This window comes from Homo sapiens, chromosome 13 (assembly GCF_000001405.40).
Source record: "Homo sapiens chromosome 13, GRCh38.p14 Primary Assembly".
In the NCBI taxonomy this organism is placed as follows: domain Eukaryota; kingdom Metazoa; phylum Chordata; class Mammalia; order Primates; family Hominidae; genus Homo; species Homo sapiens.
In genome coordinates, this window is record NC_000013.11 from 110,517,753 (window position 1) to 110,545,573 (window position 27,821).

General features: G+C 50.9%; 1 protein-coding gene across 1 annotated transcript in view, besides 9 other annotated features; it reads right to left on the reverse strand.

The window, feature by feature from the left end:
- Positions 71 to 907: an enhancer, noted in NCBI's record as "H3K4me1 hESC enhancer chr13:111170170-111171006 (GRCh37/hg19 assembly coordinates)". NCBI's record gives its function as "activates a minimal SCP1, AML or CMV promoter by ChIP-STARR-seq in naive H9 embryonic stem cells {active_cell/tissue: H9 hESC(naive)}" and the evidence as "EXISTENCE:reporter gene assay evidence [ECO:0000049][PMID:30033119]".
- Positions 4,104 to 4,183: an enhancer, noted in NCBI's record as "active region_8000". NCBI's record gives its function as "activates an Ori minimal core promoter by ATAC-STARR-seq in GM12878 lymphoblastoid cells {active_cell/tissue: GM12878}" and the evidence as "EXISTENCE:reporter gene assay evidence [ECO:0000049][PMID:35858748]".
- Positions 5,314 to 27,821, reverse strand: part of RAB20 (RAB20, member RAS oncogene family) — a 38,657-nt gene continuing 16,149 nt past the window's right edge. Inside the window, exon 2 of the mRNA NM_017817.3 lies at positions 5,314 to 6,445. Within this exon, the coding sequence (NP_060287.1) occupies positions 5,913 to 6,445 (533 nt within the window). The 3' untranslated portion in view covers positions 5,314 to 5,912. The remainder of the gene's footprint in view (positions 6,446 to 27,821) is intronic.
- Positions 6,876 to 7,015: an enhancer, noted in NCBI's record as "active region_8001". NCBI's record gives its function as "activates an Ori minimal core promoter by ATAC-STARR-seq in GM12878 lymphoblastoid cells {active_cell/tissue: GM12878}" and the evidence as "EXISTENCE:reporter gene assay evidence [ECO:0000049][PMID:35858748]".
- Positions 7,960 to 8,009: an enhancer, noted in NCBI's record as "active region_8002". NCBI's record gives its function as "activates an Ori minimal core promoter by ATAC-STARR-seq in GM12878 lymphoblastoid cells {active_cell/tissue: GM12878}" and the evidence as "EXISTENCE:reporter gene assay evidence [ECO:0000049][PMID:35858748]".
- Positions 8,460 to 8,529: an enhancer, noted in NCBI's record as "active region_8003". NCBI's record gives its function as "activates an Ori minimal core promoter by ATAC-STARR-seq in GM12878 lymphoblastoid cells {active_cell/tissue: GM12878}" and the evidence as "EXISTENCE:reporter gene assay evidence [ECO:0000049][PMID:35858748]".
- Positions 9,710 to 10,004: a silencer, noted in NCBI's record as "tiled region #8993; K562 Repressive non-DNase unmatched - State 13:Ctcf". NCBI's record gives its function as "represses a minimal TATA promoter and a strong SV40 promoter by Sharpr-MPRA in K562 cells {active_cell/tissue: K562}" and the evidence as "EXISTENCE:reporter gene assay evidence [ECO:0000049][PMID:27701403]".
- Positions 13,006 to 13,622: an enhancer, noted in NCBI's record as "H3K27ac-H3K4me1 hESC enhancer chr13:111183105-111183721 (GRCh37/hg19 assembly coordinates)". NCBI's record gives its function as "activates a minimal SCP1, AML or CMV promoter by ChIP-STARR-seq in naive H9 embryonic stem cells {active_cell/tissue: H9 hESC(naive)}" and the evidence as "EXISTENCE:reporter gene assay evidence [ECO:0000049][PMID:30033119]".
- Positions 16,444 to 17,226: an enhancer, noted in NCBI's record as "H3K4me1 hESC enhancer chr13:111186543-111187325 (GRCh37/hg19 assembly coordinates)". NCBI's record gives its function as "activates a minimal SCP1, AML or CMV promoter by ChIP-STARR-seq in naive H9 embryonic stem cells {active_cell/tissue: H9 hESC(naive)}" and the evidence as "EXISTENCE:reporter gene assay evidence [ECO:0000049][PMID:30033119]".
- Positions 21,082 to 21,131: a silencer, noted in NCBI's record as "silent region_5502". NCBI's record gives its function as "represses an Ori minimal core promoter by ATAC-STARR-seq in GM12878 lymphoblastoid cells {active_cell/tissue: GM12878}" and the evidence as "EXISTENCE:reporter gene assay evidence [ECO:0000049][PMID:35858748]".

The following is a 27,821-nucleotide window of genomic DNA, read 5'->3' on the forward strand; positions in this document are numbered from 1 at the left end:
AACACTTAGAGATGAGAGGCTGCAGCTGCAAAGCCACATGGGATGGGGCAGGAGGGGACTGCTGTCTTCCCGAGTTTAAAATACACCCAGGAGCCCTCTTCCCCCACCCCACCTGCAGATTCACACTTGAGAGGACCTTGCCACATGCAAGGGTGACTCAGGGACCTTCTCCTCGCATTTATGGCCAAAGTACAAGAACAAAGGGCAGATGGGGTGGAGGCCACTTAGAAGATGTGGGTCCTGTGACGGCATAAACCAGCCCTAAAGCTGGAGCCATTCCTGCAGAGGCCATTTCATCCCACATGGGACAGGACCCCGCTTCTCCTCTGGGTGGGACCCATTCTTTTGCCTTGAGCTGGCTTATTCTTAACTGTACACTCACAAACATAATCCATTTTATCTGCAGGATTCCTGGGAAAGGAATTCTTGCATTCAGATTATGAGGACTCTGTCCAGGGGGCTCTCACACCTCCCTCAAAGCAGAGAGAGCTCGCCCCTGGCCATGGGAGCCGCCCGCCACACAGGGGCTGGTGAATGAGGTCGCCACGCAGTGAGGCTGAGGGAGGGGGTTTGGAAGTGCTACTGGGGATGACAGTGGCCAGTCCCAGGCCTGCCACCTTCAGACCAAGAGCAGGCACGAGCCAACCCTGGTTACTTAACTGAGACCAGCTCCCAAGAGACAGCATTCCAGGCCCCCATGCCTTCTCCCGGTGGGAAAATCTGGATGGAGGATAAAAAAAGGGGCTGAGGCTTGTCCTGGATCCGTGGGTATCCACCATTTGCAGCCCGAACAACCAAGCCCACCTTTAGGGGAGGAAACACATGGCAGCAACTGGAACGTGGCATTGAAAGTCCGAGGCTCAGATTCCCAAGCCGCCATGCCCCAGGCAGGACCTTCCACAATGACATCCCAAGAAAACAGCCAACGTAGACTGAGCTGGGAGGGCCTGGTGAGGAAGTGGGTGGGGCTGGGAGCCAAGGCCTGGGCGTGTCTCACTCCGGCCACTGACACCCTGACCCAGGAGGCACCTTCTCGGGCCTTGGGTCCACATATCCTCCAGCAAGGTGCCCTCCAGATCCGATACCTGAGGGCTGGGCCAGTGGCTTCAAGGCAAACACAAAGTGAAGGGGAGGGACACAGAGCTTCATAACCACGCAAGGACGCTTGCTCTGAAGGCGTCAGCTCTCCCTGAAGGAGGCAGCCTGGACCACAAGGGAGGACTGGGCCCAAGAGCTTCCAGAGCAGGCACAGAGGAGGCTGAGTGCAGGCGGCACATGTATGTGCAGGGTCTCTGCTGTGCGTGCAGGGTCTTGGCTATGCATGCAGGGTCTCGGCTGTGCACACGTGCAGGGTCTCGGCTGTGCGTGCGTGCAGGGTCTCAGCTGTGCGTGCATGCAGGGTCTCAGCTGTGTGAGCAGGGTCTCAGCTGTGCGTGTGTGCAGGGTCTCGACTGTGTATGCAGGGTCTCAGCTGTGTGAGCAGGGTCTCAGCTGTGCATGTGTGCAGGGTCTCTGCTGTGCGTGCAGGGTCTCTGCTGTGCGTGCAGGGTCTTGGCTATGCATGCAGGGTCTCGGCTGTGCGCACGTGCAGGGTCTCAGCTGTGCGTGCATGCAGGGTCTCAGCTGTGTGAGCAAGGTCTCAGCTGTGCGTGTGTGCAGGGTCTCAGCTGTGTGAGCAGGGTCTCAGCTGTGCGTCCACCCACCACACCCATCCTCTCTGTCCTGTTTCGACAATGAGGCTCGAAAGATCCAGCTCTGTGAAGTGGGAGGATGGAAGACCCCTGCACACTGTGGAGAAGAGTCTGTGCTTCTAATAAGGGCATGTAAGAGGACGAGGGCACCGGCCACTCTGCCTGGCCACAGAAGGGAAGATACGACCTGGACTCCACCAACCAGGGCTGGGAGGATCTGTGCCTTTGAAATCCTCCAAACACCTGGAGGCCACACCACGGCACTCCCACCAGGGTCTCTGGGGCCCGGGTCCCACTCTTCTTCCTTCTTCAGAGGTTTGTGGTCATTGCTCAGGAGGGACTCAGCCTGGTTAGAGTCTCCCAGGAGCACGGAGTGAAGGCCGAGCTCAGAGCCATTGCCCCTTCTCTCTGGAAGACAGGCACCATCTCCATGTCTCATGGGGTCTGTCTCATGGGCCTTGAGCAGCAGCTCACCTCTGCCGGAGGGATCCATGTGCTGGGAGCACCCGTGTGCTATGGGGATCCGTGTGCTAGGGGGACCCGTGTGCTGGAGGGACCCGTATACTAGGGAGATCTGTGTGCTGGGGGAGGGGGAACCCGTGTGCTGGTGGTATCCGTGTGCTGGGGGGATCCGTGTGCTGGGGGGGAGCCGTGTGCTGGAGGGACCTGTGTGCTGGAGGGACCTACGTGCTGGGGGGATCCATGTACTGGGGAGACCCGTGTGCTGGGGAGATCCGTGTGCTGGGGAGGGAAGCCGTGTGCCGGGGAGGGAACCCGTGTGCTGGGGAGAACCTGTGTGCTGGGGGGACCTATGTGCTGGGGGGATCCATGTGCTGGTGGTATCCATGTACTGGGGGAATCCACGTGCTGGGGAGAGAACCCGTGTGCTGGGGAGGGAACCCGTGTGCTGGGGAGAACCTGGGTGCTGGGGGGACCCATGTGCTGGCGGAACCCGTGTGCTGGGGAGGGAACCCGTGTGCTGGGGAGATCCGTGTGCTGGTGGGGGAGCCCGTGTGCTGGGGGTATCCATGTGCTGGGGGGGGCCCATGTACTGGGGGGCACCCGTGTGCTGGGGTGATCTATGTGCTGGGAACATTCATGTGAGGTTGTTTTCCTGGCACAGCAGGGCTGTTTAAACCAGGAAGTTGGGTCCAGAAATGGCAACGTCATACTCTTTAAGAAACTAGGCCTGGGAGCCTGGGGAAGGGGACATTCTGACTGACAGCACCCAGATTACCACATACCCAACCCCAGGACTCCCTGACACCACTGCCAGGCACGAGGCTTTAAGGGCACTAGGAAATACCTGGTTATGAGGTGTCATTGAGGAAAGGGTTCTCATCTGCATGGGGACATGGACAGCTGGAAAGTGCAGAAGGGAGCTCCAAGACCACACACAGCCATGAACCCTGGACCGTCACTTGCTCATCTCCTCCCTGGAGTGGCCGCTTTGTACAAAGGAAAGACGGATGCTCGAGGTCACGAGCTCAAACCCACACCCAGTGGGGAAATCTGCGCCAACAGCTGAGTTGCCCAACCGAGGGATTTCAAGCTTTCCAAGAACTGACGTGGTTTCTGGAAGGAAACAGAGGCCACATGAGATGAGGGTGGGGGAGTAGGACCCAAGACCAGGCTCCCCAGCGAGGAGCCAGGCTGGTATCCAAGGTCCACTTGGAATGCAGCCCAGGACACAGGGTGCCAGGGGGCCTGTGGCGGCACTGTCATTGAAACTGTCCCAATAGCTCAGCTCCAGGAAGGGCCGTGGAGAGTGCTCAGTGAGATGTGCTGAATTAATGAGCCCCTCATGCCCTTACAAAAGCACTTGTAAGGGCAGCTGGAAGTTGCTAGCATAGGAGAGACTGCAGCGCCGACTGCCCAGAGGAACTCATTTAAAAGGAGCCCACAGGGATGCTTATTTTTAGGACAACACATATAGGATGAAATGCTTAAACAGAGTTGATGGAGAATGTGCCACCCATGGGCACCATCCCCGGAGCACGCGGCCACTCGAGGAAACAAGCTGTTGGGTGCCCGGAGCAGATGGGAAATCGAATCCAAGACTGTTCAGGAAGAACGGGCCTCAGGCATTCATACAGCCCTCCCTGCCTTCAAGCACCAACTGCAAAAACAGTGCCATATGATACTTTCTCTCCCTTCACAGCCTTCAAAGAAAGACTCTGGCCAGGGCCAGAGCTCATGCTTATGATCCCCGCACTTTGGGAGGCTGAGGCAGGAGGATTGCGTGAGCCCAGGAGTTCCAGACCAGCCTGGGAAACACAGCAAGACCTCATCTCTACAAAAAATAAAAATAAAAAATTAGCTAGGCATACTGACACACCCCTGTAGTCCCAGCTACTCGGGTGACTGAGGTGGGTGGATCACTTGTGTTCAGGAGTTCGAGGCTGCAGTGAGTGAGCTGAGATTGTGCTACTGCACTCCAGCCTGGGCAACAGAGTGAGACTCTGTCTCAAAAAAAAAAAAAAAAAAGATTCCAAGGTCTCTTTGATTAGCCTATTTCCTAGATGGGTCACTAGCAAAGATACACATTATAGAAAATAAATATAACTTCTGTCCCTACAGTGGTATATTCAACCAAGTCAATAAAAAGTCACGAGTCAGGCTGATTTGCGTTCACTTCTCAATGGGCTGCTGTTGCGAAACTGAAGTTTTAAACTCCGAAACCACATCTCAGGGGAGCTGAGGACCTGCAATCGCAGGGGTTGCCTCAGTGCTTCCTCCTGGGGTTCAAGCTCCCTTCCTTGCCTGAAAGCACTCACTCCACAGGAGCGGAGAAGTTAGGCCTGCAGCAGCCCAGAAACCGGAGAGCACAGGCCTTCAGCAAATTATGAACAGCTCCCCAGAAAACAGAGCACCCTGTAATCCCAGCATGTTGGGAGGCTGAGTAGGGAGGATTGCTTGAGTTCAAGGGTTTGAGACCAGCCTGGGCAACATGGCAAAACCCCAACTCTACCAAAAAAAAAAAAATTATTGGGGCATGGTGGCACATGCCTGTAATCCCAGCATGTTGGGAGGCTGAGTCGGGAGGATTGCTTGAACCCGGAGGTACAGTCTGCAGTGAGCTAAGATCACGCCACTGCACTCCAACCTGGTGACAGAGCAAGACCCTATCACAAAAAAAAAAAAAAAAAAGAAAGAAAACAGCACTTATGAAACCCACTGCCCAGTGCCATCTGCCCCACATTGCCTCCCAACAAACAGCCCCGACCCCAGCCTGCTTTCGTTCAGTCACATTTCTGGGAAAACAAATCTGCTGTCTCCTGGCACCTCTGTCTGACATCTTCCAATAAAGCAGCCACCCCACGGCCAGCAGCAGCAGACCCGAAGGGGGTTTCTGACTCAGAGACCTGGGTGCTCAGATGCCCCAGACTTCAGCAGAACCAGAGCTTTAAGCTTTGCTACTATTATTGGAATTCAAGTCATCAAGAAAACTAGACAGATGGGCCAATCTAAATATTCTGCAATTGGTAAGGATTTCACAGAGCTTCCGCACAAAGAGAGACGTATCTCAAGTTCACAGCCATCTCCCCAGCGCCCCCCACCCTACCCCACAGAGAGTCCCTGGGACTGGGGGTGCAAATGAAGTCAGTTCAGTCTCAATACCTAAGTTGTTCCAAAAATCCTCTTTAATAATACATGTAGCCAACATTGCTGCAATCAGTATAAAAACAAAGTTATTCCTGATTTTGTATAAATGAACACGTCGAGAGTCAGGATTATAAAGCATCAAGATACAAGTACCAAGTGGGAGGACCAAAGACAACTCACAGTGAAGAGAAACGCTTGAGAACAAGAAATGTCAGAGTTGTAGGACGTGGTAACAACCCAGGGTGCTGAAACGGTCAGAGGTGCAGGTGCAGACGCAGGCTTCTGCCTCTGCAAGGGCAAGGGGGCCGTTGGTGGCTGGCTGCAAAGGACCAGTGCCAGGCAGCGGGGCAGAGAGCACCAGGGGTCTCGACTCTGCAGATTGGGCTTTGCAGAGGATTCCTGTTTCCCACCTCCCCACCCCTCTGACAGAGACTGAGGAGACCACACACGTTGACCTCCTCTTCATAGCCAGCCATCATTTCCACTCCAACATTCTGCTGCGGGTGTCATTCTGGAAAATAATTCCTTGCTGTTCCTTGCTCCTTTCAGATCACAGCTTGCCTGGTCAGACCCCTTCCCAACATGCACAGTCTGAGTCCAGGAGGCCCTCGAAAGTCAGGCACAACACCCAGATCTGGTCCTCTTGGGTGGCTTATGACTGGATATATCCACTGTGTGTGACGGCCTCTCAGCTCTCTGCTGTAAGATCATTGGCACCACCAGGTCAAAGAGGGTCTCAAACAGGAGGTCCACATTGTAGCCGGTCTTGGCGCTGGTCTCAAAGCACATTTGCTCAGCGGCCGGCACATCCTGCTCATCCAGCATCTTGTACTTGAGGATCTTTTTATAAAGGGCCACCGCATCCTCCAGCTGCACCTGCTTAGGTGCCCTTGGGGAGACACGGTCCCCAGCGTCCATATTGGGACTGCACTCTTCCTTCTCCTGGCCCGCCAAGGCCCCCTCCTCAGTGAGGTCCACTTTGTTCCCCACGATGGCAAAGAGGCAGTCTTTGCTGGCTGTGTCTGTCAGGCCCAGGAACCGGTCCTCCAGCTCCACCAGGCTCTGCCGGTGATTCACATCATAGGTGAGGATGATGGCGGCCGCCCCCCGGCAGTACATGGAGCCCAGGCCGTGGAACTGCTCCCGCCCTGGTGGGAAGAGAGGGACAGAAAGAGTGGTTATCTCTCATCTCAGAACATAGCCACCAGCCACACTGCAAGGGAACGTCCCACAGGGATGTTTATTTTTAGGGCAACACACACAGGATGAAATGCTTAAACATAGTTGATGGAGAATGTGCCACCCATGGGCACCATCCCCAAAGCAGGCAGCCCCTCGAGAAAACAAGCTGTTGGGTGCCCAGACTAGATGGGAAACAGAATCCAAGAATGTTCAGGAAGAACGGGCCTCAGGCATTCACACAGCCCTCCCTGCCTTCAAGCACCAACTCCAAAGGAGTCCTGGCCCCAGCCATGGCTGGAGATGGAAGGAATCAAGAACTGATGTCCAGAAAAAAGCAGCGACTGCCAAGGCCCTTGCTGAGATAGAAGCTGACTCGGGAATGCAGACTCCGGAAGCAAAGTGTGCCCATGTCCCTTCACCCTCCTCCTTTACACCCCCTGGGTGCTCCCAGCTGCCCTGTGCTGCCCTGCCCAGGAAGTGCTGCGGGGAGGGCTTCTGAGTTCATAACAGCAGTTGTAAACCACACCTGCCCTTATCTGCCCAGAATCACACAGCACCCTGCGGTGCTCACGATATTTTTAGGACACAGTGGACATCTCCCCTCCCACGCTGGAATCGGAATCCCTGAGGAGCCAGGCCCCAGCATTCGCACTTCTTGTGGGTGCCGCAGCCCCGCCTGCCCTCCAGGTTTAAAACAGACAGAGGTGCGGGCAATTGCAGGCAAGCCGGGAACCTGCTCCCAAAACATTTCCAGGTTGAGATCAAACCCTCGGGACACAGCTCAACGTCAACACATTGGCTACTGACAAGGTGCTGTCTGTCACTGGGTCTGGCGGGGAACAGGGCCAGCTGGCATGCACCCCTGCAGTGCCTGGAGTGTGGGCATCTGCTCTCCCCGTGCCCCCAGCACTTCAGCCTCACGAGGTCGATGTGGGCACACACACTTTCCATGAGGAAACTGAAGTGTGGGGGAGTCAGGCATAGCAGCGCTAGAGGGAGGCTGGGCCAGGGCACTGGAACACCCGCCACCGTCCTACATTTAAACGCAGAGACCCCCGAACTGATGGCTAAAAAGGAAGATTAAAAGGTCCCCAGCTCTGTGTACTTTTACAATGCAGTCATCTAATCAAATCAACCCGGGTCAGAATACACTCCCCACAGGTAACACCTGCACATCCGTACTGTTCTGTTCCCAACGTCTGCCCCAGGACCACCTTTCTATCCCACCAACAGTGCACAGATCCCCAAGGGGGCCCGCTCACCTCCCCACCAGCAGGCGGCTCCCTGCCAGTCCACTCAAGGGCTACCTAGGAACTTTCTGGCAGAATTCTGAACCCCTGTCTGTAGCACAAGCTTTCTGCATACTCAGATGTGGAGGACAGACTCCCACAAGGGGAGCAGATCTGGCCAAGGCAGGTGTTCCTGGGACAGGTGCAGTGCACGCAGCAGGTGAGAGCCCCCAGCAGGGAGGGCCGAGCCGAGCACGCCTGCTGGTATGTCCTCCCAGCCTTGGCGTGCTTTTCATCGTTGGACACATCTGCCGCACTGGGGGGACGAGCTCTCAGGAAGCAGCTGTGGGAGAGGCAGCAGCATGCACCTTGGCCCCCACCTGCCTCTCGAGGACCGAGCAGGCTGTGCATGGCATGGGCCCTCCCTGCTGGCAGGAAGGGGCTTCACAGACGCTCCTGGTGATGCATTTGTTTCAATCACCAACAAGCAAACCCCAAGTGAGATCTTCCAACCACAAAGCACCTGCTCCCAACCACACCTGCCGGGGGCACGCTTTCGAAGAGGAATGAGACTGAGACCTGTGCTCAGACGCCATCCCAAGGAGCCTCTGCAGACAGGCCTGGAAGCTCCCATAGCACCTGCTGCAGGCCAGCTCATCCCCTCCTCCCTGGGGCATGTGTGGCCTCCCGGGCCATGCCCTTAGGCCAAGAGGAGGGAGAGCTGGGAACGACTGACAGCACTGGCCTCCACTCTCGAGCTCAGAACGCCAAGGTCAAGTGCCTCTGAACAAGGATGAGGCTGCTGGGGCACTGGCGCAGAGAGAGGTGGCACCCAGGGAGTGTCCAGGCCCCATTCCAATCCCTCGCCTGGGAGAAGTAAGCCTGGTTCTGATTTTTTAAAAAGAAGCTAACAATGTGGATTTTAATCTCCCAAGTTTTAAGCACTCAAAACTAATTCAAAATTTTCTAAAGATCACATTTAGGCAAACCAAAATGCAACAGTGGCCCATCATTGGCAGCTTCTAAATTATAAATGGTCCCATGTCACTCTGAGGGCAACTTCCCCTGAGTGTGTGGACAGTGTCGACCACTAGCAAGGGCTCTTAACCACTGGGGTCATAAACCAAATTCACAGGGTCCATGACCTTGAATGAGGGAGAAAACATCATCTTTGTTTTCACCACCCTCTACCTGAAATTTACCATTTCCTTTCACCACAAATATTGGCAGCAAACTGCAGAAATGGCAGTAAGGGGCACTCATCACCAACAGGGCCAGCAGGTGCTTCCATCCGCATGCCAGATGCCTCAGACACTCCAGCGTGATGCCCACGACCCTTCAGACCTGCCATGCCTTCATTCATTAATATGTGGACCATGAACCACATATCAATCATAATTTAAAAAGGCTCAAGACGACTGTACTTAAGGACAGCTGGTTACCTTTGTATGTGACTGCACGCACTTGGGCATAGTGTTCTGAGAAGGGGTCCTGGGCTTGTACCCCTCGGGGGCCGAGGGGTCTTGACACAAATGAAGTTAAGGCCCCTTGGTCTGTGGGGCTTTGGAGCATGGACTGAACGCATGACACCTGCACACATGTGGCTCTCTAAGGCAGACTGTCCTTTGCCAATAAACCACTGTTTAGAGCCAAATAGCCAAGAAGCACAACCAAATTTCATCCCATTCCCATCCCCAATCTTTCTGAAATGGCCACACATTCTGATGACGCCAAGTCCTCAAACCTTGCTGGGCGATGCTGCCTGGATTTTGAGGCAGGCTGGTCACCCCTTGGGCAACCCTGGAGAGAGGCGCCCACAGAGACACACACTCATGTCCTGTGAGAAGAGCCAGACAGACCTGTCTACTGACCACTGTGGTCTCCCAGGCCCCGAGCGTGGACTCCAGCTCCCCCTTCAGCAAAGCCGACAGTGTGCCCTTTGGGGATGTGGAGGGAAAGCGAGCTGGGAGCTGAGCCCAGACCAGCTCCGGTAGGAGTCAGAAGAATGTGCCCTGCTGCCAGTCTGAGGGTCAAAGTGCGAGAGCTACCCGGGTCACCTCCCTCTTCTGGGAAAAGCCAGCCTGGGAATGCTGTTGTTTGGGCGACAGAGCCACCCTGTTGGCAAGCAGCTTGTGCTCTGGAATTCAGCACCTGAAGGGCAACATTCCTCCCTTCCGCACGCCTACCAGGGGTCAGCTTCAGACTGAGAAGTCAATCCGTTTCCAGTCAAGCTGGACTGGACCCCAGCAGGCAGAAATCAGACAGTGTCCCCGGAATCCACAGTCATTCTCCCACTACAGAAGATGATGATCAAAAGCCTTTAAAACCCAATACAGCAGGCATTAGCTTCAAAAAGAACAGGCTAGGGCAGGAGGATTGCTTGAGGCCAGGAGTTGGAGCCCAGCTTGGGCAGCATAGCAAGGCTCCTATCTCTACAAATACACACACACACACACACACACACACACACACACACACACACATACACTTTAATTAGCCAGGCATGGTGACGCATGCCTGTAGTCCCAGCTACTCGGGAGGCTGAGGAGGGAAGACTGCTTGAGCCAAGGAGTTCGAGGCTGCAATAAGCTATGATCATGCCACTGCACTCCAGCCTGAGCAACAGTGAGACCCCATATCTAAAATAAATTTAAAATGGTAATAATAAAGGAAAGAAAAAGGCCGGAGACTCATGCCTGGAATCCCAGCACTTTGGGACGCCGGGGTGGGCGGATCACCTGAGTTCGGGAGTTCGAGACCAGCCTGACCAACGCAGAGAAAACCCATCTCTACTAAAAATACAAAATTAGCCAGGCATGGTGGCATGTGCCTATAATCCCAGCTACTTGGGAGGCTGAGGCAGGAGAACTGCTTGAACCTGGGAGGCGGAGGTTGCGGTGAGCTGAGATAGCGCCACTGCACTCCAGCCTGGGCAAGAGTGAAACTCCATCTCAAAAAAAAAAAAAACAAAAAACAGAAAAGAAAGAAAAATGCTTCTTCGTCATTACCACAGTACTAAGACTTTTGTTTCAGGGACACTAATCCCATAGATAACAGTCCAGGCATCATGAGGTTTTTACATGAGCTAAAAACGTCATCAGCTTCTACCCACCAGATTTCACAAGAGTGTGACTATGGGAATGCGGAGTCAGGGGCACTCCAGCTACCCTGGAAGAATGGTTTTCAAGTCTCTGTTACATAGTTCACTAGGGCCAAAGGGAGAACCGTGTTGATGCCTATGCCTAAAATAGTTTTCCATTCCAGATAAAAATGCCTGATTTGCCTTTAAAAAACTAAAAAAGGAAATAATAATATAAAAGGAAAGATCTTAGTAATGAAAGGAAACAGGAACTGAAGAATCACAAATGCTAGCCAGAAAAAAGTAAGAATTGTTGCTTGAACCCTATAATCTGTTATCTACCCATTAATGAATGCAAACCAATTAAATGCAGTTGCCCCAGCTAAAGAATTTACAAGCAAGCAGTTTTCATATTTGAAATTCTAAAATACTGCTTTGGAGATAATGTATAGCTTTTAGGATTGCTAATGGAAGAGTCAGGCTGCTCTCAATGAGCGCATTGTCCACACCAAGAAGGGCCAGTCCCGCAGGGAACAGAAGTTCTGAATTTAATCCTAATTGAATTTGAGTAGGGGCTCTGGTATGTAAGGCATGAGAGTGAACATAAGACAATGAAAATAAAATGGTGTCACTACAACTTGACCTTTTGCACTTGGCTTTGACAGATTCACAGTGTATTTGAATCCAAGGACCCTCACGCGTTTTCTGGAAGTTTGTGAATGTGCTCTGAGCCGGGCCGTCAGCCCCCTGCTGCCAACCCCATACACATGTCAGCCCCTGTATCTCTCAGAATATTGATTTCCTGTCTACAAGTATGGGCTTAAACTGAGTACTTCAAAGTCCCTCTCCCTGGAAACAGGATCAGGCATCTCTATCTCTATTGCCTTCTCCCCCAGACCGGAGTCCGTCAGTACCAATCGTGAAGCCAAAGCACTGAGAGTTCTGGTGGTTTACCTGGACTTTCCTGGAGAAATAAACAGCCTCAGGTCCAATTCTGGGGATGCCAGAGCCCCAGGCTGCCCCAGAAACAGGGCAAAAGAGAAAAATCACAAATTGGTTCAAATTCAACCAATGCAGCCAAGGGTCAGTGAGCTGCCAACCCTGGTCTGGTGAACGGAGCCAGGCTGCCGAGCCTGTGTGGCCACTACCAACACGGGCCTGACATCATCAGGGCTGGGGGCACGGGTTCAAGCCTGAGGAAGGAGCCCAGCCTTCCGCCAGACTCTCCCGCCTTTTTGCCTGGGCTGTCTCCAGGCCAAGCAGACGGGAGGATGGGTGAGTGACCGGAGCCTGGGGCTCTAGGTTCGACTTGTCCAGGAATTATTACTCGTCTATGTAGCAAATCCGTAAGTGATCTGCTCAGCTTTATGTCACCAACACATACAGACGAAGAGGTCAATTACCCCTGGTGGTGAGGGAAACCTGAATCTGTAAGAACGCCTCCAATGTCTGATCAGCCACACTGTTGGACAAACTACTGAAATGCAGCAAAACTGACCAGGACTTTAACCGTGAGTTCAGAGCAGCCAGAAATGAAGACGCCCTGCTCACTGCAGACAGGGCCCTGGGGAGGCAGGTCCCACCACCCCACCTCTACACAGACACAGGGCCCCGGGGAGGCAGGTCCCACCACCCCACCTCTACACAGACACAGGGCCCCGGGGAGGCAGGTCCCACCCGCCCCACCTCTACGCAGACACAGGGCCCCGGGGAGGCAGGTCCCACCCGCCCCACCTCTACGCAGACACAGGGCCCCGGGGAGGCAGGTCCCACCCGCCCCACCTCTACGCAGACACAGGGCCCCGGGGAGGCAGGTCCCACCCGCCCCACCTCTACGCAGACACAGGGCCCCGGGGAGGCAGGTCCCACCCGCCCCACCTCTACGCAGACACAGGGCCCTAGGGAAGTAGGTCCCACCCGCCCCACCTCTACACAGACACAGGACCCTGGGGAAGTAGGTCCCACCCGCCCCACCTCTACACAGACACAGGACCCTGGGGAAGTAGGTCCCACCCGCCCCACCTCTACACAGACACAGGACCCTGGGGAAGTAGGTCCCACCCGCCCCACCTCTACAGACACAGGACCCTGGGGAAGTAGGTCCCACCCGCCCCACCTCTACACAGACACAGGACCCTGGGGAAGTAGGTCCCACCCGCCCCACCTCTACGCAGACACAGGGCCCTAGGGAAGTAGGTCCCACCCGCTCCACCTCTACACAGACACAGGACCCTGGGGAAGTAGGTCCCACCCACCCCACCTCTACACAGACACAGGGCCCTCAGGAGGCAGGTCCCACCAGGTTTGTTTCTCGAATTTACAGATCTAAAAACACAATTGTGTCTGTTCACCTAAAGAGCTAATTCCACTCACTTTATGAGGTTTAAGTTCTGTCTAAACAAGAGAAATGGAAGCCAGAACAGGACTTCGTAATTTATAGCAGGGAATGAGCTGTTAACTTCCACGATCCCGTCCTGTATCAAGGATAGGAAGCGCTGCATTAGCTATGGGAAGAAGCATGGCCAGCACAGTGTGAGTCCTCAGGGTTTATTATGCTCGTGCAGGCTTCCCTTTCCCATGTTTTACAGGAGGAGGAACTGAGGCACAGATGGAGAAGGAGGTGGGCAACAGACACAGGAGCGGTGGAGCCCTGAGAAGCACGCTGGCAACAGGCACCCCAGGGAGTCTGGTCTAACCACCCCCAGAGGCAGAGGAAGGGGCCTAGGGCCCCTTTGAGGTGGGCTGCTGGGCAGGAGAAAAGCCTGCCTCCACCCTGTGATCCCACAGAGCACAGGCATTTGCAGAATGCAGCCACCTTCCCAGGAGCTCCAAATTTTACGCAGAGAACTATCCTGGAAGTGCCGGCTAATTCGCTGGGCAGGGACTGCAGAGCGTTCTGGTAAACAGCCCCCACTCTAGAGACAGACTACATTCAAATCCCCACCGTGTGACCTTGGGCAAGTCACTTAGACATGCGGTACCTCAGTTTCCCCGTCACTAAAATGTGGGTTACACCTGCCAAAGGGTGGCTGAGAAAGCAGAATCTGCACACAGGTGAACTGGCTGGAGCTGCACCCAGCACATTAGGCCCTGTAATAGAAGTGCTTGTTCCATAAATCGTGAGATTCCTCCCAAACCTAAGGATGGATGCCACCGTCCCAGGGCTGCCCATGTCCCGGGTCTCATCATCCCTCCATTTACACACCACCTCCTGGGGCCGACTGGGCGCTTTTGCAGTGGACCAATCTTCTACGTTTCTTATTCTCAGATGATGACCTTCTCCCTGGTCCTGGGGGTGCTCCGGATGTTGCCAGATCAGTGGAGCTGACATGGCCCAGGGTTCAGGCAGAAGGGGAAGGGAAGTCAGCACCCACAGTAATCCTGATTCACTGTTGCGGAACCAAAAACTGCCCAAGTGCTTTCCATTTCACTCTTCAGCCTTCCCAAAGCCAAACACAGCCAGGCTTCTACCCCAAGTGTTGTGTCGTTTTCACTATTGGTTTAAATAAGAGTGGGTTGAGATAGCCATCAGAAGCCACGGACACCCTTGGCTCACATCTTAAGCATGGGGTGGGGAGACTTAAAAAATACTGATGCTCAGACCCTGACCCAGCTGCCAGGGCAAGAGTGGGGCTGGCATTTGTATCAGCTTTAAAAGCGCCCCAGGTGAATACCAGGTGCACCAGGAGTGAAAATCAGCAATTTACCCAGTGAAAGTGGGAAATAAAAGGGCAGCTATTGAAATGTAAGAATTAGAAAGCTTGGTATTTCAATTCATTGAAAAGTGAGCCCTACCAGGAAATGCAAACACTGAGACAACAGGAACTTTCATTATTTATTTATTTACTTTTTCTTGAGACAGAGTCTTGCTCTGTTGCCCAGGCTGGAGTGCAGTGATGCAATCTCAGCTCACTGCAAACTCCACGTCCAGGGTTCAAGCAATTCTCCTGCCTAAGCCTCCCTAGTAGCTGGGATTACAGGCACACACCACCAAGCCCAGCTAATTTTTGTACTATTAGTAGGGACAGGGTTTCACCATGTTGGCCAGGCTGGTCTCAAACTCCTGACCTCAAGTGATCCACCCACCTTGGACTCCCAAAATGCTGGGATTACAGGCGCGAGGCACCACGCCCAGCCTATTTAATTATTATTTTTTTGAGACAGAGTCTTGCTCTGTCACCCAGGCTGAAGTGCAGTGGTACGATCATGGCTCAATGCAGCCTCCATCTTCTGGGCTTAAGTGTTCCTCCCAACTCAGCCTCCCGAGTAGCTGGGACCACAGGTGCATACCACTACACCCAGCTAATTTCTTTTATGTTTGTGTAGAGATGGGGACTTACTATGCTACCCAGGCTGGTCTTGAACTCCTGGGTTCATGCTATATTCCCAACTTGGCCTCCCAAAGTGCTGGGGTCACAGGCATGAGCCACTGTGCCCAGCGGAGAACAGAAACTTTTAAGATGAGTTCTCTGCCTTGCCAGATCGGACAGCCCCCTGGCAGGGAGCTCACAAAACATCGATGTGACAACCTGAGGAAAGGAAAAGTGCATATTCCCAGACCAGAGATGGGAGCAAAATAAGCAACTCCAGCAATGGCACCAGCAGCAGCGCAGCCTAGAGGAGCTGTGACACACTTCCCATCAGAGATTGTTCAAAAACACCACGACATGCTTTCTCCAGTGTTTGCAGGTTGCATCCACAAATACGAGCCAAAAGGTTATTTTAGTTCTATTTTGTAAAGTTGATGAGTTTTGGCTAAAGTTGAGAGTCATGGGACCATCTCCACAGGCATGATCTACATTCCCTCTAGGTTTGTTTTTTTAAAACCGATAGTGAACTTGGTTAAATAATGGTGCGTGGAGGCCAGGCACAGTGGTTCATACCTGTAATCCTAGCACTTCAGAAGGCTGATGTGGGAGGATCCCTTGAGCCCCTGAGTTTGAGACCAGCCTGGGTGACACAGTGAGTCCCTATCTCTACAAAAAAAAATTTAAAAATGAGCTGGGTATGATGGTATGTGCCTGTAGTCCCAGCTACTCTGAGGAGGCTGAGGCAGGAGGATCGCTTAAGCCCAGGAGGTTGGGCTGCAGTGAGCTGGGATACTGCCACTGCACTCTAGCCCGGGCAGCAGAGCAAGACCCTATCTCAAAAAGAGAGAATGGGATGTGGAAGCAACCATCCCCTCAGGAGCATTAGAAAAGAATAAATAATTGACTACTATAACCAACACTGTATTCAATTGTTTGTTGATTTTAGTGCAGTAAGGAAGGCCCACAAGAGTCCCTGGGTGCATGAATGGAGCTGGGCTGCCTGGAGCCAGCACAGGGCCTGGCTGGACACACCTGCCCCCACCAGTACGTGGAAAGTGGAGAGCTAGCAGGCAAGGGCCCCACGCAGTGGGCAGGCCCTCCCCCCAGAACCCACATGCACCAAAGCCTCCAGAGAGCCAATGGCTTGCCAGCCTCCACCCACCGTGATGGGGAACTGTATCTGGTCGGGCCCCGGTGCCCAGCAGTTTGGTCCTGCACTAGCCTGGACATGGCTGGGAAGGTGTTTTTTAGGTGGGATCAGCATTTACATCAGTGGATGTGAGAAAGCAGACAGTGCTCTGTGATGTGGTAGGCCTCGTCTAATCAGCTGATGGCCTGAGAAGTAAAGACTGAGCTCTTCCAGACACGAAGGAATTCAGCCCCCAGACAGCAACAAAGCAACCTTGCCTGAGCTCACACACCCTCTGTCAGGTCTGTTTCTCTGGGGAAGCCTGGCTGCCTTATTCACGTGGACTGCTCACTTGCTTCCCTGGGATGGAGGCTGTCTGCAAAGCTGAGGCTCTCCAGAGAGGCCTGTACAGCTCCCCCATTTTCAGGCTGTCCCCTGAGGCCGAGCCCCTACAAAGAGGTGCTGCCACCGTGATGTACGAGTGTGCCGGTCAAGGGTGCCGACCACGCCCCGACCCCTGCCTTGCCCCTCAGCCAAACAAATGTCCAGGGCAGGGGAAGTGGCATGACAGGGGCTTTTCAGAAAACTGCAAGGATCACTTTGACCCAAACTGGTCACTTCTTCATTGAGGGTTCCTTGCCCGGGCAGTTATCTTTCCAAATGCTGATCCAATATGAACACCCTCTACTGTGCACCCCAGGGGGCTTCCTAGCAGGCTTCAAAAGAGTGTGAACTCCACAAAACTGGACCTCATCATAAATGCACAAGTCCTCTCCTGCCAGCTGTTCAGCAACTAAACAGTAAAATAGGAAAAATATGATTTCCAAAACGAAGAGCAGAAGACATATCCAGCAATATTTTTTTGTGGAAACAGAGACAGGGTCTCGCTCTGTCACCCAGGCTGGAGTGCAGTGGCTCAATCATGGCTCACTGCAACCTCATCCTCCTGGGCTCAAGCGATCCTCCCACCTCAGCCTCCCAAGCAGGTGGGACTACAGGTGTGTACCACCACGCCTGGCTAATTTTTTAATTTTTAGTAGAGATGAGGTCTCACTAAGTTGCCCAGCCTGGTCTCAAACTCCTGAGCTCAAGTGATCCCCCCGCTTTGCCCTTCTAAAGTGCTGGGATTACAGGCCTGAGCCACCACGCCCAGCCCAGGAACATCTTTTACTGGCAGAGATGGAGAATGTAGTGAGAAATTTAAATTCAGAATTCTTCCTCATTTTGAAAAGCACACATCTCACCTAGAACTAGCCACATCTCTAAGTCCAAGCCACGTGTGGCCAGTGGCTACCATGCTGGATGGCACAGAGCAGACTCTGCTCAGAGCCGGAGACCCCCAACCCGAACCCACCCTGAACACCAGGTACAGTTCCTGGACCACAGCAGACACTCACGGGCTGCTTGGAACAGGCATGAAGGAGGCGTGAAGTTACAGAAACGAATAAATAACACATGAGGCTAATTCATACAACCACTTCGTGGGTCACGTCTTCATGGATCCTTAAACCACTCTGGGAAGTCTCTGTTTTCCATTTTCGCAGATCTACAAGTCAAGGCTCAGAGACTCTACTGGCGAGATTGGAACCCATTCCCTAGATTCCACCTCTCCTCCTCCTGCCTGCTCTGAGTGCCTCACAGCTTGGGCCCTTCCATTAAATGCCTGTGCAGTGACTAACTTTTCACAGGCAGCCGTGAAGCACCGCACACACCCGGCACGCTGGGCCCAGGCCTTCCACGCAGTGGCTGGCCCAGCGCCTCTGAGCGCCCACTGGACCACACCATGCTCTCAGCCCAGCAGCAGTACCCAAAGCTCCGGCCGCGCAAGGCCTTCCAACACAGAAATGGATTTCATTTCTCTCCTTGAAGGTGAACCAGAGGGCAGGAAACAGCACTTTCTGTTTAAAAATGGAATCATAAATGTATTATTATGGGTTCAAAAATATACATTCAAGTCTTCATCTCTGGCACCCATGAATGTGGCCTCATTTGGAAACAGGGTCTCTGCAGAAGTGATTAGCTAAAATGTGACCACATGGAGTACGGCAGACCCTTAATCACATCTAACTGGTGTCCTTATTAGAGAAGACACCCGGAGACACAGGGGCAAAGACGATGTGAAGGCAGACCCCCGGGGAGGAGACCATGGGGAAACAGAGGCAGAGATGAGAGCCACAGCTCCGCAGGCAAGGACGGCCAGCACCAGTCAGGAGCTGGACAGTGGCGGGAACAGCCTCTCCCTGGAGCCTCCTGAGGTGCACGGCCCTGCCGACGCCAGTTCAGACCCTACCTCCAGGATGGGGAGAGGATGAGCTTCTGCTGTTTGAAGCCCTCCCACTTTGTGGAACTTGGTGACTCAGACCCCTACTAAAGCATGGACTGGGCGGCAGGTGGATGGCCTCCCCCTAGACAGGCACCGAAAGTCAGGAAGAATGATATCTCCTCTCACCAAGGTCCATGTGACAGTCAGGCAGCCAAGAGAAGCTTCTGCTTCCGTTGCCTCCCCACTTCCTCTCCCCGAGGAAAGCCGGGGAAGAATCAAGATGATGATGAACTTCAGTGAACCCCACTAAAGGAGAAGTCAGTGAGGATGGGCCGGAGAACACTGAACTCAGACAACCAGAGTTCAGAGAGGAGGAGGCAGGGCCACCTCCAAGCCCGTCAGCAGAACTGCTCGCTTCCTGAAACAAGTCACAGCTCACAGAAATCACATGCACAGGAATATCTAAAATGGCTTTTTTTTGGGGCGGTGGGGGGGGGTTGTTTTTATGTTTATTTTACTTGTACTTTTTTTTTTAATGGGAATTTTTTTTTTATTACACTTTAAGTTCTAGGTACATGTGCACAACGTGCAGGTTTGCTACATATGTATACATGTGCCATGTTGGTGTGCTGCACCCATTAACTCATCATTTACATTAGGTATATCTCCTAATGCTTTCCCTCCCCCCTCCCCCCACCCCACAACAGGCCCCGCTATGTGATGTTCCCCTTCCTGTGTCCAAGTGTTTTTTTTTGTGTGAGACAGGGTCTCGCTCTGTCACCCAGGCTGGAGTGCAGTGGTGCAATCGTAGCTCATTGCAGCTGTGACCTCCCAGGTTCAAACAATCCTCTGCCTTAGACTCCCAAGTAGCTGGGACTACAGGCTCACGCCACTACGCCTGGGTAATTTTTATTTTTATTTTTATTTTTTTTTTGGTACAGATGGGGTCTCACTATTATTGCCCAGGTTGGTCTTGAACTCCTGCGCTCAAGCAGTCCTCCCACATTGGCCTCCCACATTGGCCTCCCACGGTGCTGGGATTACAGGCATGAGCTACCACGCCCGGCCGCTTTACTGTTTTTACATCAACCTAATGCCACCAGTATAAGGAATAAGCAATGCCCTCTAACCCAATTTACACAACAAGAAGTTGTCCAGTTCATTGTCCTTCTTCAGATATGTGAGAAGAAAGAGGCAGTAACCACTGAAAAAGATATCAAAGAAAAACGAATGATTTGTCCAGCCAAAGAAGCCATCAATTGTCCGCACCTTGAAGAGGAAGCTGCCACTAAACTCATAAAGAGGAAAGTGTCTCATCATAAACAGACCAACCTCAGGGTGGGACCAACACCATCTCCTAGACATAAGGAGCTGCATCCTCAATCAAGCAGAAGAACAGGGCCAGGCGCTGACTTGGGATGTATGACATTCCGGTTCCTAAAGTGAGTCCAGCCACTATTAACAGCTTTTAGAAACAGCTGACGCCCTTGAGCCCTCACTATGTGCAGGCATTGCCTCTTCAGCGGTTCAGCTCCCAGGACCCTGCGGGGCTCAGTGCATCACCCCCAGCCCAGATGAGACAAGCATGCAGGCCCCAGTCACAGGGGCCCTGGTCACATGGGCAGCAAATGGAAGAGGCAGGCCTTGAACTCCAGCAAGCAGAGCCCAGGGCTCCTATTCCCAACAACCATGCTACACTATCAGCTTCAGGTCCTCCACCAGGATGGATCAGGAAAAAAAGAGTTAGAAAAAAGAATGAAGGCCAAGCCAGGCGGATCGTTTCAGCCTAGGAGTTTGAGACCAGTCTGGGCAACATGGCAAAACCACATCTCTACAGAAAATACAAAAATCAGTGGGCATGGTGGTGTTCGCCTATAGGCCCAGCTACTTGGGAGGCTGAGGCAGGAGGATCACTTGAGCCTGGGAGGTCAAGGCTGCAGTGAGCCGTGGTTGTGCCACTGCACTCCAGCCTGGGTGACAGAGCGTGACCTTGTCTCAAAAAAAAAAAAAAAAAAGAAAGAAAGAAAGAAAAGAAAAGAAAAAGAAAAAAGACTATTGGTATTTCCTAATCTAAAAGAAATAGGCCAGGCACGGTGGCTCATGCCTGTAATCCCAGTACTTTGGGAGGCAGAGGAGGGAGGATTGCTTGAGCTCAGGAGTCCAAGACCAGCCTGGGCAACATGGTGAGACTTTGTCTCTCCAAAAAATACAAAAATTAGCAGGGTGTGGTGGTGCATCCCTGTGGTCCCAGCTACTGGGTAGGTTGGGGTGGGAGGATCACCTGAGCCCAGGAGGCAGAGGTTGTAGTGAGCTATGATCACACCACTGCACTCCAGCCTGGGTGAGATCTTCTCTCAAAAAAAAAAAAAAAAAAAAAGAAAGAAAAGAAAAGAAAAGAAAAAGAAATAAAGAAAGGCTGAGCAAACCCAAAAGTCAAGCTATGCATCAAGAGCAAAATGCCTGAATCCACTCCCAGAAAACCAGCTCCCTGGGGACGGCTGTTTCCTCCCAGCAAGGCAGCAGGGGCGAGACCGTGAAAGAACCATCCTGTGTTCTCAGCTGTGCACTTCCCTCACGTTCTTACTCTGAGACCAAGCTTCCTCCACTGTCCCTGGCCAGGCAAGAGCCCCACAATGGTCACCTGTCACCATCCAGGAAACATCTCATGAAAACTCTGCTCAATTGTACCAAGAAAATACTCTGAGCCAACATCCAGCAGCCGGATATGACTGTGGGAGTTGACAACAACCCTACCCCTCTAATAGTAATGCTTTTCTGCCAGAAGAAAGAACTAAAACCTCAAGACAAATTAATCAATCACAGGAAGAAAGGAGGCGATTAGGTGACCTTATTTTTTAAATAAGCTAATAATTCAAATTCAGTAATCCAATGTAGTTGCTTGCATTTATAGTTGCTTTAATTTTGTTCTGAATAGTCTATGACAATTAAAGGGCATTCAAAAACATAGCTGTGCTTTATGACATAAAGGAGGATGATTACTTTTCTAGTCTAGCAAGTCCAAGGGTTTATATTGGTAATAAAATAAAAATCAGTATTGCAGTCCTGCTTAATGACTGTCTACATCCAGAGACTCAACTACCAGGACTGCTTGGCAAATACTGACCGACAGCCATCCAAACCCCTGCCCGCGAAATGAAGCTTTTTTCCTTTTTGAAAAAAAGAGTCCAAACCTAAAACTATTTCCAGTTAACGGAACTGCAACATATGAGGCAGAGGAGAATTATTCCAGGAAAATGGATTTTTCACCTTTAAATATACATCAATGCATTTTTTGTTTTTTGTTTTTGTTTTTGGGTTTTTTGTTTTTTTTTTTTGAGATGGAGTCTCACTCTTGTTGCCCAGGCTGGAGTGCAATGGTGCAATCTCGGCTCACTGCAACCTCCGCTTCCCGGGCTCAAGCGATTCTCTTGCCTCTGCCTCCCAAGTAACCGGGATTACAGGCACCCGCCACCACGCCTGGCTAATTTTTGTATTTTTAGTAGAGACGGGGTATCACCATGTTGGCCAGGCTGGTCTCGAACTCCTGACCTCAGGTGATCCACCCGCCTCAGCCTCCCAAGGTGCTGGGATTACAGGCATGAGCCACCGCGCCCGGCCACATCAATGCATTTTTACCCAAATCTGCATGTGTCATTTCTGTTGTTTCTTCTTGATGATCTGAAGGATAAACTAAAAATAAAGCAAGTGTCATACGCCACATGAACCACTCACATCACTAACTGCAGGTAGAGTAGTTCCACCTGTGGCCCACTACGTGGCTTCTGGAAAAATGATGAATGTAAAGCAGGAAGAAGCTTAGTTCTCAAGTCACATCACTCTTCAGACATGAATGTACTAAAAATAGTTCAATGACAAAACCAAATTACTCAGAGATGTTCTTTAACACTCCGATATTAACAGAAACAGGCAAGTCCCAAAAAATACACGTATATAACAGACTTAGCTTTAAAACACACACTGGCACATGCCAGCATATGTAATCCAATCTCCTTTACCTTCAAGAGATACTCTGTTGTCCTGTAATAACGAATGTTTAGAATGAGATTATCAAATAAAAGTGCAGGTATTTGCTAATGTCTCCAAATAAAGTAAAACTAAAATTATTTCAGCTCTTTTCAAAGCACATTTTAACCTGTTTCAAAGTCAAGACTGAATTATAAATATCATATTAAGAAAACTTTTTAAATCTAAACAGGGAGGCCGGGCGCAGTGGCTCATGCCTGTAATCCCAGCACTTTGGGAGGCCGAGGCAGGTGGATCACCTGAGGTCAGGAGTTCGAGACCAGCCTGGCCAGCATGGTGAAACCCTGTCTCTACTAAAAATACAAAATTAGCCAGGCGGAGTGGTGGGTGCCTCTAATCCCAGCTACTCGGGAGGCTGAGGCAGGAGAATCTCTTGAACCCAGGAGGCGGAGGTTGCAGTGAGCTGCGATCGCGCCATTGCACTCCAGCCTGGGCAACGAGAGTGAAACTCCGTCTCAAAAAAAAAAAAAAAGTTAAAATAGTAAATTTTGTTATGTATATTATACCACAATAAAAAACCTCCACATTATATATGGAATATATACGTATCTCTCTCACGCAAAATAGTGTCTACAAAGAAGGCGAGGAGCTGGAAGAGCATGCTCTCCACTGCCCCGACCCTCACGGCTGGTCTCTGCTGGGCTGCAGCAAGCCCCGCGCAGCTGCCCATGCCCCTGGAATGGGAGTTACCTGGCTGTTGGGTTAAAGTACAGAATCTGGCTCAGGAGGCCTGGCTGGGTCCTGGGTTCTGCTGCTGCCAGCCCGAGGACCTTGCCGAGGAGGAGACGGCCACGCTTCAGCCTCTCATCAACCCAAGGTGAGAGCCGACCACCCCTCACTCTAAGTAAAACCTGACAGCTGATCTTTTCACACCTCACCACTCTCCTGCCTTCCTCTGATACTCTCCACCTGGTCACGGTCACGGCGCAGCAACAGATTCCTCAAGCAGTGAAAGCTGACCCCCAGGCCTCAGGAACATCACTCCTGCCTGGGTCTGTGGCACAGGGTAACAGGCCAGAGTTAATCAGATTTGGAATTAGTTAGGTTTAGAATGTGCTTTTGCAACTGCTGTAGAAAAGTGCCTGGCTAAGTAAACAATAGGCCACCAGCTTTAGCACATGGGAACGAAGTGTCTTCAAACAATCCAGAAATTGTTATCAGCCCAGGCACAATAGCAATACAACTGCCACATGAAAGCTCACCTCGTTCTTATCTTCTCATTAACACAAGATTCGCTAGAAGATTTCCAGTGACAATGTCAATTTGGAAAGTATTTAAAACTTCCTCCATTCCTTCTGACTTCTCATTTTTCAGGAAAAGCAGCCAAGTTAGCAGGGAACTGCCTGCCCTAATCTTGGTATTAGTGGAATTCTCTGGGCCAGAGCCCTTCGCCTGCCTGGGGCTCAGCTTCCTCAGTGTCCCTGCACCAACTGGATCTGATCCCTTTAACCAAATCAGTGTTCCTTCCAGGGACTTCCCTAAGGGCTAGCTGACTGCGAGTTTACTTCAAGTGCCAGGCGGAGTGTCCAGCCACACACACACACACACACACACACTCTCACATACATGCACGTACATGCCATGCACACATACACATACTCACAGTTGCATTTCTTTCTCCCCACTGTGTCCACATTTCACACATCTGGAATCAGAGACCCCAGATGCTCACACACGGAGACAGTAACCAGTGGCCACCATCAGCAGGAACGGGGTGCAAACAGCCTGGGGAAGGAACTGCCAAATAATAAGGGTGTTTGTTGGTTTTGTTTTTGTTTTGTTTTGTTTTAATTTTATTATTATTATACTTTAAGTTTTAGGGTACATGTGCACAACATGCAGGATGACGAGTTTTGTTTTGTTTTTAATCAGAACGCTTGCTGTATTTTATTCTCAGCTTTACTGGGGTATAAATGACAAGCAAAATTTGTAAATATTTCAGATGTACAACATGATATTTTGATGTATCATGAAATGATTACCCTATTAAGCTAATTAACACATCTATCACTGCACATAGCTACCATGGGTGTGCAGACAGAACATTGAAACTCCACCCTCTCAGCCAATTTCAAGCCTATCACATGGTACTGGTTAACTACAGTCACCTGCCTGGGGCTCTACATTAGACCTCCAGAACTTATTCAGCCTGCAGAACTGAACCTTCGTAGCCTTTGATTAAAAACTCCCCAATTCCCTCTCCCCACCCACCTGCCAGCTCCTTGTAACCACCATTCCACTCTGCTTCAGTGAGTTCAACTTGTTCAGATGCCAGGCATCAGTGAGACTATGTGGTATTTGTCTTTCGGTATCTGGTTTATTTCACTTACCATGATGTCCTCCGGGTTCACAAACAACAGGATTTCTCCCTTTTCCAAGCTTGGATAATACTCCACGGTGTATATTTACCACATTTTCTTGATCCGTGCACATCAGTGGAAGCTTAGGTTGATTCTGTATCTTGGCTACTGTGAACACGGGAGTGCAGACATCTCTGAGAAATACTGATTTCCTTTCTTCTAGACAGATACCCAGCAGTGGGACTGCTGGATCATTTGTTCTAGTTTTAATTTTTTGAGGAACCATCATGTCTTCCACCGCGGCCATACCCGTTCACATTCCCACCAGCAATGTGCGGGGTTCTCTTGTCTCCACATCCTCACCAGCACTTACCCTTTGTCTTTCTGATGACAGCCATTCTAACAGGTGCGACCTGACAGCTCACTGTACTGCTAACTTGGCTGTCTCTGCAATTAGTCATATTGAACATTTTTTCATATACCTGTTGGCCATTTGTATGTCTTCTTTTGAGAAATGTCTATTCAGTTCAGGACCTTTGCTCATTTTATTTTTTTTTATTTTTATTTTAGAGACAAAGTCTCACTCTGTCACCCAGGCTAGAGTGCGGTGGTGTGATCTTGGCTCACTGTAACCTCAAACTCAAGCGATCCTCCTGCCTCAGCCTCCCACGTAGGTGGGACTACAGATGTGCACCACCTCCCCTGGCTAATTTTTCTTATTTTTTTGTAGAGACAGGGTCTCACTATGTTGCCCAGCCTGTTCTTGAACTTCTGGCCTCAAGTGATCCTCTGACACCTCGGCCTCCCAAAGTGCTGGGATTATAGGTGAGAGCCACGGCACCTGGCCCTTTGCTCATTGTTTAATCTGGTTGTTTTCTTGTTACTCAGTTGTTTGAGTTCCTTATATATTTTGGATATTAATCCCTTATCAGCTGTATGCTTTCCAAATATCTCCTCCCATTCTGGATGTTCTCTCTTTATTCTGTTGGTTGTTTCTTCTGTTCTGCAGAAGCTTTTTGGTTTGATGCAATCCCATTTGTCTATTTTTGCTTTTGTTCTCTGTGCTTTCTGGAGTCACATAAAAAAGAATCATTAGCCAGACCAATACTGCAAAGCTTTTTTCTTATGTTTTCTTCTAATAGTTATAGTTTCAGGTCTTATGCTTGACTCTTTAATCAAATGTGGGTTATTTTTTTTTTTTTTTTTTTGAGACGGAGTCTCACTCTGTCACCCAGGCTGGAGTACAGTGGTGCGATCTCGGCTCACTGCAACCTCTGCCTCCCAGGTTCAACTGATTCTCCTGCCTTGGCCTCCTGAGTAGCAGGATTACAGGCACCTGCCACCACACCCGGCCAATTTTTGTATTTTTAGTAGAGATGTGGTTTCACCTTGTTGGCCAGGCTGGTCTCAAACTCCTCCTGACTTAAGCGATCCACCCACGTCAGCCTCCCAAAATGCTGGGATTACAGGCACCCAGCCTGATTTTTGTATATGGTGTGAGACAAGGGTCTGGTTTCGTTGTGCATATGGATATCCAGTTTCCCTGGTACCATTTATTGAAGAGGCTGTCCTTTCCCCCAAAGGTTCTTGGCATCTTTGTCAAAGATCAACTAACAGTAAACGTGTGGATTTGTTTCTGGGCACTCTACCCTGTTCCATTGGTCAATGTGTCTGTTTTCATGCTGAGGTCATGCTGTTTTGATTACTATAGCTTTGTAGCATATTTTGAAGTCAGGCAGTGTGATGCTTCCAGCTTTATTATTGCTCAAAATTGAGCAAGAATTTTGCTGGCTATTTTGGGTCTTCTGTGGTTCCACATAAATTTTAGAATTTTTTTCTATTTCTGTAAAAAATGCCATTGGAATTATGATAGTGATTGCATTGAATCTATGAGTGGGATTTTAAAGCAATTCTACCTTGACACATGTTAAAAAATAATTTTCCAAAAAGGGCAAAATCATGACTCTAATACAGATGTAAAAATAAAGACACGTTAAACTCATGCAATGAAGGAGCCAGACCTAGGTCATAACCAACTCAAAGAAGTCAAGGCACAGAGACGTGTGGCGCAGACAGACGGGAATACTGGAGCCTGTGGAGGGTGACATCTAGGAAGACACATGGAGAACCAGAGAGGAGTGCCACAGTGAGTGTGGAAACACAGGTAAAGCGCCTCACCGAGGGAAAGTGACGCACCACACACCCTCAAATCTCAAGTAGGTCTCTGATATGGTTTGGCTGTGTCTCCGTTCAAATCTCAACTTGAATTGTATCTCCCAGAATTCCCACGTGTTGTGGGAGGGACCCACAGGGAGGCAATTGAATCATGGGGGCATAGTCTTTCCCGTGCTACTCTTGTGGTAGTAAATAACTCTCATGAGATCTGATGGTTTTATCAGGGGTTTCTGCCTTTTGCCTCTTCCTCATTTTCTCTTGCCGCCACCATGTAAGAAGTGCCTTTTGCCTCCCACCATGATTCTGAGGTCTCCCCAGCCATGTGGAACTGTAAGTCCAATTAAACCTCTTTTTCTTCCCAGTCTCGGTTATGTCTTTATTAGCAGCATGAACACGGATTAACACAGTCTCCATTAAAAAATACCTAAGAGTGTAACTGGGTTGTTTGTAACGCAAGGGATAAATGTTTGAGGGATGGATACCCCATTTTCCACGATGCAATTATTATGCATTGCATGCCTATGTCAACACATTTCATGTACCCCATAAATATATACGCCTACTATGTACTCATAAAAATTTAAAAAGTATTAAATAAGTGTATTATGTCTCCCAAAATAGTGCCCATCCTAGCACCCCCTTCTCTTCCTCACAGCAAGTGTTAGAAATCGTATTGTGAATGCTCTTTGTCTGTGGTCGGTCTCCCCAACTGGACTGCGTATTCTGTCTACTGCCACTTGCCCACGCTTAGCAGAGCATCTGATTTATAGGCAGTCCTCCAAAAAGTGCTGAATAAATGAGCAAGTTCACACT